Source organism: Homo sapiens, chromosome 6 (assembly GCF_000001405.40).
Source record: "Homo sapiens chromosome 6, GRCh38.p14 Primary Assembly".
Lineage (NCBI taxonomy): Eukaryota > Metazoa > Chordata > Mammalia > Primates > Hominidae > Homo > Homo sapiens.
The window spans coordinates 7,723,335-7,735,693 of record NC_000006.12 but is presented as its reverse complement, the minus strand read 5'-3'; the positions used below and the strand labels follow the sequence as shown (position 1 = coordinate 7,735,693).

At 48.5% G+C, this 12,359-nt stretch overlaps 1 protein-coding gene across 1 annotated transcript in view, besides 2 other annotated features; it reads right to left on the bottom strand.

The window, feature by feature from the left end:
* The window catches only part of BMP6 (bone morphogenetic protein 6), a 155,630-nt gene extending 146,035 nt beyond the window's left edge, over positions 1-9,595 (bottom strand). The window contains exon 1 of the mRNA NM_001718.6: positions 8,075-9,595. Coding sequence (NP_001709.1) covers positions 8,075-8,738 — 664 coding nt within the window. The 5' untranslated portion in view covers positions 8,739-9,595. The remainder of the gene's footprint in view (positions 1-8,074) is intronic.
* Positions 68-568: an enhancer, noted in NCBI's record as "H3K4me1 hESC enhancer chr6:7735359-7735859 (GRCh37/hg19 assembly coordinates)". NCBI's record gives its function as "activates a minimal SCP1, AML or CMV promoter by ChIP-STARR-seq in primed H9 embryonic stem cells {active_cell/tissue: H9 hESC(primed)}" and the evidence as "EXISTENCE:reporter gene assay evidence [ECO:0000049][PMID:30033119]".
* Positions 569-1,069: an enhancer, noted in NCBI's record as "H3K4me1 hESC enhancer chr6:7734858-7735358 (GRCh37/hg19 assembly coordinates)". NCBI's record gives its function as "activates a minimal SCP1, AML or CMV promoter by ChIP-STARR-seq in primed H9 embryonic stem cells {active_cell/tissue: H9 hESC(primed)}" and the evidence as "EXISTENCE:reporter gene assay evidence [ECO:0000049][PMID:30033119]".

The window sequence follows — 12,359 nt, the reverse complement described above, 5'->3', positions numbered from 1 at the left end:
ATAATGGAGGAGTCTGTGCACCTGTGGGGCAGGGGGTACCTGGGAAATCTCTGCAAAATTTTGCTCAGTTTTGCTGTGAACCTCAAACTGATCTTAAAAAAAAACCCTCTCTTTCTAAAAAATGTACAGCTTCTCCGTTGTTAACTTATTCCGATATGGGAGTCTACAAATAAAATCTGAATAAAAATCAAAATTAAGTAAAAACTTTTAGTCCTTAATTTTGTAGTTTACAAAACTCAGTCTTTGGACTATTTAAATGTAATTCATAGATTCAAAAGGAGGGAGGGAAAATAACTGGTCTCAGAGAATAAGCAAGGCTAATATTATAAGAAATCTCCTGGCCTAATCAGCTCTTACCAATGATATGGTTCACTCATGCTCTGCTGAGACACAAATCAGAATTTTTTTTCCAGCCCATGTTCACGTACAGGAAACCAACAGGACTGTAAACACAGCAACAACAATCAACAAACGCAGACGTTCTGGACGGTGAAAGGGCAAGCGGCAGGAGAGTGATAATAAGGCCCGTGGCGGATATCGGAGGTCAGGGTGGAGCGGGCTCCGGGGCTCTGCCTCCGAGGGGCACTGTTTTCTGCGCCCTGTGAATCCACTCCACTCCACTTCCCCCCGTGGCCAGCTGAGCTCTTTGGTGATATGAAAACAATCTGAACATATAATCGGCACTGTGTGGCAAGGACATTTTAGGCCTAGGACAATCCTGACCTGGCCAGCAGGAGGATCAGTCATCAAGGGCGTATGCCTATAAATCTGAAAGTCAGGAAGGCTCTCCCACTTGGAACCAGAACCTCATCCTGCAAAAATGTTTGAAGGAGATTCTTCGACCCAGTCATCTGGGACTGTGCTTGAGATAACGAGACCGTGGGGACCCATCAAGGAATTAACTGATGTAATTTAGATATCATCTCTATTATGGTCCCAATCTCCTTAATAATGGAGATGGGAAGGGCAGGAAGAGAATCAGTGGATATCAGTGGAACAATGCCACTCAGAGCAACGTGGTTTTCAACTCAATTTCGGAGCAGAAAACAATTCTTTGGAGTCAACAGTCCTTTGGACATTTATAGATATACATAGCATTTTCTTTTCTAAAAGTAGAGTTCTTGGAGAAGATGCTATCCACTAAGAGAAAACCCCAACAATTCCAGATTTGGGTTTCCTCGGCTCTTCCAGGGTTGTGCTCTTGCCTGCTTTTGTAATTTCTCCTTCATTATCCACTCCAGCCTGGCCAACAGCCCTATTGCTCTGATGCACTAGGATCTCTGTGTGTTTTCATGGATTGTCCCTCAATCTTAAGAGGTAACAGCAGTAAAGAGAAAATGGTGGTGAAAACATCTAACAAATTTAACTGCGAACAAACAGATTAGATGATATGCGAGAACTTTTCAAGCTCTAAATTCTATGATCTATGGCGAACATACATTCACCAGTTATCCCAAACTCATTTAACCAATAAACCCCAAATGGGTTTTCTGTTGCTGGGGCATACGTGTCCCCAGAAAAACCATGTTAGGGATGGTAGCTGTGTTCCCAGCCTGGCTTCAGACCCTTAACTTTATGCATAGGGTGCTGAAATACTACATATTCACATTGGAAAAAAAGTATAGACAACAAAATCTTCAAAACACTAGTGACTGAACACAAAATCTGATAAATTTCAGTGACCCACAATGTGTTACTGATTTCTAATGCTTGTAGTAAAAGGTGAACAGGGGGAATGCAGGTTCTGAGAATTTCTGGTACTCTCGAAACTTCAGAGGTTAATGGCACTGAAAAATTAGAGTTAACTCTAATTTTCACCGAAGTGGTGATGGCTTTCCTTCCCCTTCATACAACTATCACCACTTTCATATATTCCAGGAGAGACTAGTGCCGTTTTCCGACTCACACGTTTCCAGTGGGTAAAAGCTGGATCAGAGATGGGAGTGAGGGTGTTGAAGAGAAGGTAAGGGTATGATCAGAAAAGAAAGTGTATTTGAATAAAGTTAACTCCGCTGTCGTGATGAAAACAGGGAAATAAGAACAACATAATGCACTGGTTCCTTGCGGGGAACACAAGAGAAGATGCCAGCTATGCCCTATATCTGCCCCCCAGGTGACACCCTGCGGCTGGAGCAGCCCAGCTGCTGGGCACATGGCTGGGTTATGCTGTGGCCTAGGGAGGGGGGGACAGGATGGTTAATGTGTAACAGCTGTTTACGTGAATGGGGCCTTGGTAAATTGTCTATTCCTATCTTAGGGAGTTTCTGCGGTGATTTCTACTCCTTTTACTCATATATTTATGAAAACTAGTGAAAAACAAAATTGTCTAATTAAAATATTGTCTACTTTTCTTCCCACTACTGGAAGCACCAAAGATGGCAAAATGACTAAAATTCTGAACAGAAGAGGAAGAAAAATAGAATAAAGATCGAAGTAGAAAAATTAAAACTGTAACGACGTTGTGCTAAGTTAAACAATAGTCATTCCTGGCCGGACGCAGTGGCGTGAGCCTGTAATCCCAGCACTTTGGGTGGCCAAGGCAGGCAGATCACTTGATGTCAGGAGTTTGAGACTAGCCTGGCCAACATGGTGAAACCCCAGCTCCACTAAAAATACAAAAAAAAAATATTAGCCAGGTGTGGTGGCGGAGACCTGTAATCCCAGCTACTCTGGAGGCTGACACAGGAGAATTGATTGAACCCAGGAGACGGAGAGGTTGCAGTGAGCCGAGATCTCGCCACTGCACTCCAGCCTGGGTGACAGAAAAAGATACTGTCTTAAAAAAAAAAAAAAATCATTCCCTAGAATAGTTCATTTTTGATATAAGATGGGAAGCAGAAAGTGAAGGATTGGTTTGTGAAAAAGTTACAGAAAGCTGCTTCATGATGCAAGACATTGTACCCTCTTCATTTTCCTTGTCTAACTCACCTTCGTAAATAGGAGTGAGGCAAAGACAGCAGAGCTGCTATCTTTTAGTTTGCTACGTTTGATATACTACGTTTGATATACTACATTTGATAGCCAGTATTTAGCCAGTATTCATAGTCAAGTAAAATATCAATTTGAAATCCAACATATAAAGTAGTTACTCTCTGAAGACACAGAGAGGCAACAAATTATATGCTAAAGCAAGCACTGAGCATTGTTTTTGTATTTAAACAGATTCTTATCCCAGGGAAGCCCTCCTCCAAGCTGATCAGAGGTAAGCTCTCAAATAGAGGAACTAACCATGATTCAGCACATTTAAAAAGGATTTATACCCATTCTTAGAAGGACACCCAGAGGAAACACCATCTGAGGTCTGAACAATAGTATCTGCTTGCCCTTTGATCTTAGTTTAAGAACACTTTGTACAACTTTTTTTTGTTGAAATGCCACTGAATTTCAAATTTACTCTTTGTAATCTCTTTAGAAGAACATCTACTGCTTCTTTGAATCACACTCTTGCAACCAAATTCTCCAAACTGTTTTTGCTGTGAGTAGCTTGCAGGCATGGATTTATTTTCTGCTAACAAAAATCTTCTTAAGTACAGGTAGCTTAAATGAAAAACAGTACTACTGATGCTATGTTTAGGAGAAAGAGATAGCGCATTATATCTAGTTACAAATACAAGTAGGGAGTATTCCATTTTTCTTCTTATTTATGTTTCCCAAGAGTAATTTTGTTCAGAAAATTGCCAGTATTTTTAGCACAAGTTTCTTGCTGCTTGTACTAATATATACTGATTCCCTTTTCTGAACACAATTTGAGTTTTTTAAATTGCCATTTAATCCTAGCATTTGGAGATAAATACCTCGTGAATTCAAATAAACAAGTGAAATCTGAAATGCAGATATTTAATTAAATGTTTTTACTACTCTCAAATGTAATGCATATTACAAATTAATATACATATGGGTGACTAATAAAAAAGGTGTATTAATAAAGCACGATGATTTACCTCAAATACTGTGAACCTCCCTGTCCTAAATGTCTTCACTGTAAACATTTTACTCAATAAAAATCAGGTATACCCTTTCTAAATAATCAAATCTTCCAAATCAGTGAAATATGAATTTGAAGCATGGGCTATGTCTATATGTTCACTAATTCAGCCTTTTCAAAGCATCTTCCATGTGGTCAGCATTATGTTAGGCACTTGGGCTACTGTGGTGGGTTAGCGTGGTTTCCGCCTTTGGAGGCTGACATCCTACAGGGGAGACAAACAAATGAGTAAGCAAATTTAACAAGAAAAAAGAAAAACTTGTGATAAGTACAAGGAAGGAAATAAGCAGAGTGCTGTCATGGTACAGAAGTGGGTGGGATGGAGGCATGACCAGTTTATATAGAGTGGCAGAGAAGGTCTCTCTTAGGTGAATTTTAAGCTAAGACCTGAAGGATACCTCTCCAAGGTCACCAAATTGGCAGGGATGCTGACTAGGCTGCCAAGACATTTTTAGCATTAGAAAACAAATAGAAAATGGCATCTGTGGCCCTGAGTGAATGCAAGTTCACGAGCTCGCTCACCCAGGCACTCTGCACACCAGCAGCCCAGGCAGCAGACGGTTAGCATTTAGAAGGTGACACATCCCAGCCTATTCACCCAGAAAGAGTTTGAAACAGTCAACATAAACAACAATGAGCTGGTTGGATGACCAGCACTTGCGCTATGAGAGAGAAATTTATCCTGTTGATTCACACTTCCTGATAGTCCGGCTGGCTTACAAGGCTCGGGGTGTTTCAAATGTATTTCATGAGTAAATTATTCCCCCAGTCCCAGGGAAGTCGGATGTTTACAACTATGTAATACTTTCCCTTGTACTTCCAGTGTGTAATTTACTTAACCTAGTAGGTATAAGCGTACTTTAAAACGCAGCGCTGTCATGTTTATCTTTCTGTAGATTCTTTAATAGATGAGTCAGGTAATGTGGCAGTTAACATGGCATTGACAGCAATTAGGAAATCTGTAATTCTCTAGTATCCCTATATAGAGAATCCAACATTGGTACGCAATAACTTTGTTCAAATGAACTGTCCTTCCTATGTTCAGAGTCATGGCAATCAGATTTTACCCCATTCTAGCCTCTGATGATGAAATACCCCTTTCCTATTGCTACATGGATTAAGATGAAATAGAATTGCTTCATTGGCAGGTGGCATGGCTTGCTGCTTGGATTCTACTTACCCGCAAAAGGTTTTCTCTTCACACTATCAGTATAGAGTCCAGAAGTGGACCTACAGTAGCTATAACTTGTACAAGGAGCCCAGTGATAGGAATATGAGGGGCTTGGGATAGAATTCCCATCCTAGAATTCTCTTTCAGTTCTGTGTCAGCCTGTCTTGGGGCCTGGAATTGCACTACTGGGTGAGTTCTCTTAAAAATTTTTAGGGGATTTTTTTAGATCTTTCAAAATCCTTTACGAAAAATGTCAATATCCCTAGGGAGATACTATGTTAAACCATCACCCTAGCAAGGATTAGCTGACAGCCAGCTTTAAGCAGTGTGACTCAGAGGCAGTGTGTCCCTGTAGCCCACGAAAAGTCAGAGAAGCAAGGAATAAGGGGAATTTGGAGGGTCACTAAATACAGTAAATATGACTATACTTTACAAATTCGCCTTAGGCCCAGCTCTTGAAATTTCAAATACCATCTAAGGCAGTGGTTTCCAAACACTGACATCACCTGAGATCTTGACAAAACAATGACACTGCTGGGCATGGTGGCACACTTCTATCTTCCCAGCAACTCAGGAGGCTGAGGCAGGGGGATTGCTTGAGGCCAGGAGTTTTGAGTCCAGCCTGGGCAACGTTGGGAGATCCTCTTTATTTTTGAACAAAAAAATACTGCTACCTGGTTTCCACCTCCACACATTCTGATTTGATATGGAGTGCCACCTGGGCATCTGGGTTTTTTTAAGGCGTTCCCCCCTACCTCCCACGTAACACCCACGTGATTCTAATGTGTAGCAATGTTTGAAAGCTTTGCTCTTCATCTCTTACTGGGACAATGTATCCATTTCCTTCAGACATTGGGATCTCCTGTGCCAGTGTTTCCTGACCACGGTAGCATATTAGAAAAACCTAAGGTACTTAAAAAAAATGATGCCTGTGCCCCACCCTCAAAAGATTCTGACCTAACTGATCTGGGCCCACGAAGCGGCCCTAATAACCCTAGAACTCTAAGTCCCCCGGGTGATACTACAGGGCAGCTAATGCTGAGAACCTCGGTTCAAGCCCAGGAATTGTTTTCCCAGGGACTGTAACACGATTCTCTGTGAAGTAGCCAGGAGCGCCAGTCTTCCTCCCCTTTGTCCAGGTTAGGACTACCCCCAAGAGGCAATAAAACATTTCCCCAGAGCTGCCAGGAAACCTGGAGGCGGGGTGGGGGCGGGGGGTGAGGGTGGAAGGAGAGGAGAGGAAGAGAGCAAGGGGAGGAATTTACTAAGTCAGAAGCAGCAGAAAAGTTAGAATAAGGAACAGCGCTGGTCCTCTGCCACCCTGGCCCCCACCCACTACAAATTTTATTGACTGGCATGAGAATTTCCTTAGAATGCTTCCTGGAGGTGGCTCAACCTTGGATTTGGTTCCAATAAATTGTGAAAATTCTTGTCCAATCAGAACCCCGGGCAGTGCAAGCAGCCAGATTGGCAGGCCCTGAGCCTGGACTCCTGTGAGATTCTGTTTCACGAATTTCCCAGGAGGATTTCTGCACCACTTGGATGCCAATCGCCCTGCCTCCACACCCTCCCTTGGCTCTTACCCCCCATGTTCTCTCCCTCAAAGCTCAGTGGAGTTGGGAATCATAGATAGGCTGGTAAAGAAATCACCCAGATAGTCTACGCGGGAATCATTCCAGTAAGTAATGCCGTTAAAAGATGAGCGTCTTTGACGTGGCTGGGAGACCCGTGTGCTCCTTTGGCGAGTGTCTGCTCACCCACTTCAGGGCCTGGGCACAACCACCGTCTCACATGGGAAGGAGGCCCGTGAAGCCCCACCCCGCCGCGCAGCTGCAACCATCCCGGGCGTAGCCAGTGCACCCATGATCTGTCCGCTGACAGCGCGTCCCTCCATCCTATGTCTGCGCTAAACTAAGTCAGCTTATGAATGAAAAGCAGTGCAAACCGGAGGCACTGACTCCGAAGAAAAGAGTCTTCTCTGCACCCTTCTCATTTACAGATGAGAAAACTCAGTGGGGTGGGAGGGGGGAGAAAGGGCGATGTGACTGGGTCCGGGTTTGCCACAGAACATTTGTGGCGGAGCTCCATTTAGCCGCCCGTGAATTTCCATTCTGTTGCCTGGCAACCGGTTCAGAGGAGCTCAGCGCCCAACCCCGGCCCCTACCCCGCACCCTTTCTCTGCCCGTGCAGCTTGGGCTGCATTGATCAAAGGTTCAGCCTTTGGGGACAATGGCCAAGGGCATGTGAGCCGGGGCACAGGATGGATTACCCCAGTTGAGCTTTCATCCCGCCCCAAACAGAAGCGAGCCCCGCCCGGCCGGGATCCGAGCGCCTTCCGCGGTCCTTTTGGGACTTCCCTCTGCAACCTCCCCTAGTGCCGTGGATACCTCTAAACATACTCATGCCAAGTTTTCAAAGTTCCCAGCCGCTGTCGGATTCCCTAAAAGTCTCGGTGGGAAAACTGCACTCCAAGTTAGGGGGCAAAAGGCGGCAGTTTAGAGGGGAAAATCGTACTGAAGAGCCCTCTTCCCAGGATGGCCACACTCGGGCTGGACTCTCCTGCTGCAGTTGAGTTAACCTGGCCAGAGCTGGGCAGAAGTGAAAAAAAGCGCGGAACGTGCTCAGGGAGTCCGCAAATACACGCCCGCTGGGGACAGCGCTCCCGGAGCCCCGCGGCCCGGCCGGCCAGCCGCCTCTGGGGGCCTCGGCGCGCAGCCCTGCCCGCGGCGCGGGGGAGCGCATGTGCCGCCCACCGCCGCGCAGGTGGCGGGAGCACAGCCTGCCTGTCCCCGCGTTCTCTGGCGCACCAGGCGGGACCCGCGCGCCGGGAGCTCCTCCACCCCCTCACTCCATCCCCTGGGCCCGGGACACTGAAAAGGGGGAAATGTTCTCGTCATTACGTTACCCCAAATCCTTACCCAGGTTCACAAAGCTCATGACCATGTCCGCGTCGTTGAGGAAGGCGCTGTCCTGCGCGCTGGTCAGTGGGGACGCGCCGCCGCTGCCAGATCCGGGGGCCAGAAGGCTCTTGCGGTTGAGCGGGTGCGCGGCGCCCGGGGGCGGCTGCCGACGCTGGGACGAGCTGGCTGCTTCGTGGGGCCAGGACTGCTGCCTCTCCCCCTCCGACGCCCCGTCCTCGTCGTTGTCGGCGGACAGGGCGTTGTACAGATCCAGCATGAAGAGGGGCGCGGACTTCAGTCGCCCGGGAGGGGGCTCTCCGCGAGGCAGCTGCTGCTGCTGCTGCTGCTCCTCCTGCTGCCGGAGCGCCGGGGGCTGCGGCTGTTGGAGGCCGTGCAGGGGCCGGGGCCGGTGCGGGAGCCCCAGCACCGACAAGATCTCCTTCTGCATCTCCCGCTTCTCCTGCGTCTTGAGCCGCCGGTACAGGAAGCCCGAGGAGGACTGCGGCGACGGCGGCGGCTGCTCCGTGCGGCCGGGGCTCCCGCCGTCCCCCAGCAGCTGCCCCCCGGCGGCGGCGGCCGCGGCAGCGGGCAAGGGCGGCCGCAGCGGCGGGGGCCCGCAGCAGCTGCACAGCAGCCCCCACCACCAGCACAGCCACTGCGCCCTCCGCCCCAGCCCCGGCATCCCCGCCCGGCCGGGCTGCCCCCGCGGATCCCGCGAGGCGTGGAGCGGCGGAGCGAGGCCGGAGCGCGGCCGCTGTGGCCCTTGGCGTGAGCAGTCCCCGCCACCTCTCGGCGGGCTCGCTTCCCCTTCCTGGCCCTCAGTCCTTATCTCTCATGGTCGTCCGGGGCGCCCCCAGTTGCCCAGGCTAGAGAGGTGGCGAAGGGGCGATCACCAGGAGAACCGCTTGGAGGGGAGGAAGGGGAGCCTCACAGCCTCGCGCAGGTCTCTAGAGGCGCGCGGTCCAGGCCAGGTGCGTCTGAGTCCGGGCTGCACTGCAGCCTGCGCCCTGGCTCCTGCGAGTCGCGGCGCGGTCACTCTGGGCCTCGCTGGCCGCACACGTGCGCTGCCCCGCGCTCTCCCTGGCGACTGAGTGGGACCCGGGGCAGCGGGGAGCGGGGCCGCTCACGAGCTGCGGGAGATGCCCGGCATCACCGTGGCGCACGCCCCTCCCCAGATCGCAGGGCCACCATGAAGTTTACCCCGTTGCAGGGCCCAGGCTGCGGCGACAAGGCGTCCCGAAATGCCAGTCTATTCCGCGAGGTTTAACTTCCTTCTCGCTCACGAACTCCGCGCCCCTGAGCTCTCGGGCACCGTCGCTCCCACTCAAAATCTCCGCGCGCCGCACGCCTCCTCAAGCGGAGGCGGCGAGGATCTTGCTTTCCGTTCGGCGGTCGCCCGGCTGCCCAGCAAACCCGCTCGCAGAAAGGATGGGAAGGAAGGGGGCTAGTGCACCGAGCAGCGGCCGCGGCGGCGGCGCCGGAATTCGGTCTCCCGCCTCTCCACGCCGCGCTCCCCGCAGCGGCCAACGTGGGCTTTCTGCTGCGCGCCCGGCTCAGGTACCTCACTCCAGCCCCGGGACTCCCCGCCCCGCGGTAACCGACAGGCTGGCAGCCAATGGGGACGCGAAGCTCGCGGGCTATTTAAATAGCCCCGCCCCTTCTTTCACCCTCCCTCTCCCGAGAGGCGTCGCCTCCGCCGCGCGTAGGTTTCAAGACCCGGGAATTCTTGGAGGCATGCGAAGAGCCGCGAGGTGCCAAAGGCGAAGAGGTCATCGCTAGTAAGAATGATCTGACCAATACCCCGATCTGAAGCTTTCTCTTTTACCATCATTTAAAAGGCCTAAGTTGATGCTTTAACTAAATAAAAATAATAACAGCGATTAAATCACTATACTGCCAGAACTGAGGAAGAAAAGAAAAATGATAGCTTTTCCATCCCTTCCTTAGTTTCTCTTATTGATGTAATGTAGGCGTTTAGCGGACACGTGGCTTTCCACGGCAGCTGCTGGAAGTTGGGACACACCCTCCGGGGAGGCTACTCACAAACTGACCACAGAGAGGGCCACATGTAACCCAAGCCAGCGTCCTGAGGGTTTGGGGTCGGATGTGTTGACTTCTCTGTTCATTTGTGCTTTGGTTTGGCTTCTTAAGCTAGCACCCAAAAGAAAGAGGGTGTAATCAGACGATATATTAGAAAAGGCGTCCCCTGTCTTCTTGGAAATGTCTTGATTCTCCAGCTTATCTATTAATGTTGCATTTTAATATTGAAATACAATGTGACTTATATGGTGCAAGATAAAACTTGAGGAGAGGTGATAAAGATAACTCCAGGAAGAGCAGGGGCTTGGCATGCATTCTGAATGGTCAGGACAATAGACAGGGTCCTGAAACACAGGTTCCTGTGGATTTTAGACAAGATAACACCACCACCAACACCATTTGCCAATGAGGACACAAATTCATTTGCCTTTACCCCGCCCGAGAACATCCAGTCATCTATGGATCGTAGAAGCAAATTCACGTAAAACATGAAGGTTTTTTACTTGGTGAAAATTGTGTGGAGTTGAAAATAAAAACTGCAATTTTCTGACTTGCCAGCCTTAGTCCAAATGGTCCTAGGCATTTGAGAGTGAAGTCAAATAGATTATAGACTGTGGGATTCATGAATTTATGAGATCATAGGCTTTCTGTTGGTCCAAATCTTATAAGCATTCCTATCCTATTTCCAAGAATCTATTTCTCATGGGTAAATAGAGACCACCACTGACTCCAACTACCCACTGAGTCCTTCTTTCTAGTTCTGCCTTGGCCCAGACACAAGTGGTCATTTAGAAGAGTCTTTATTTCTACAAATATCTGATAGCTATGAATTTCAGGGCACAAAACTTATGTGAATGCCAGTCTTTAACCATCTCTACAGGGATTTCTTCCATCCGAAAAGATAATACGATACTTTGTCTGGGATGCCCGGACCCTCAGAATTCAAGAGCCCTGTCACTTCTTTTTTCTGTAGGGAACATGTTAGGGACATAAATTCACTGCAGTGCCCCACAGCAGCCAAGAGCTCTGCTCAGAAGATCTGAAATTCCAGCAAATACACCTAGGCTTCCTGCCAAGAGCCTCCTTTTTTAAACCTAGTTGCACCTTCCTCATAAGACTTCTGGTGAGATGCAGGCAGAGTAAAAGACTTTCTACCTACGAGGGCAGTGGGGAAGACACAGGAAACTCAACATTTCAAGCATGGATGAGGGCACCTTGGTGGGGCTATGTCATTTAAAACACAAAATCGAGGGGTGACCCACCTATTGTAGAGGTTGAGCATCCCTAACCCAAAAATCTGACATCCAAAATGCTCCAAAATCTAAAGATTTCTGAGAGCTGACATGATGCCTCAGATGGAAAATTCCACACCTGACCTCATAGGATGGGACATGGTCAAAACACAGTCAAAATTTTCATCCACAAAATCATTTGAAATATTGTATTAAATTACCTTCAGACTATGTATATGAGATATATACGAAACATAAATGAATTTCATGTTTAGACTTGGATCCCATCCCTAAGGTATCTCATTATGTATATGCAAATATTCCAAAATCTAAAAATCTGAAATTTGAAATACTTCTGGTCCCAAGCACTTTGGATAAGGGATACTCAACTTGTGTATGCATCTATGGGGTGGACCTAGTGCAGAAGACACACACACACATGCACACACACGCACGCCATCTCTCCCTTTCCTTAGACACTAAGAAGTAGATGGGTTCATGTGACATGAGTCTAAAGTGACTATCAACTAAACATCTGAGCAGCAACTCTGATTCAGGTCTGTTGCAGGCTCCTCACTCCACCAAGATGGATTCTCAGTTTCTGTCGAATGGGGCTAGAATGAGGAGGTGTCGAGAGTACCTCCAGGTGATGAACATGAGAACGCACATCTCCCTTAAGAGCCAGAAGAAGCTCCTAAAAAAACTGTGCAGTGAGACATTACAATGATCATAAGGACAGTGACATCCAACTGAGGATGTGCTCCTCTTCTGTCCACTATGGCTCCCAACATGTGCACATCATGTTTGCGGGACACATGCAGGCAAGCCCTTGTATCCATTGGGACAAAGGGGACAGGAAGAGATACAGTTCTAGGATTTTAATAACCTTGAAATTGGGACTACTCTTTCTCCAAGCCAGTTGGACCTCTAGGTGGATAAAAATCCCCTAACCCCCACCTTGTCTACTCCCTGCTTCTGGGACCCTTCCCCATTAGACAGCCCGAGTGCTCCCCTGGAAGCCTCAGGACAGG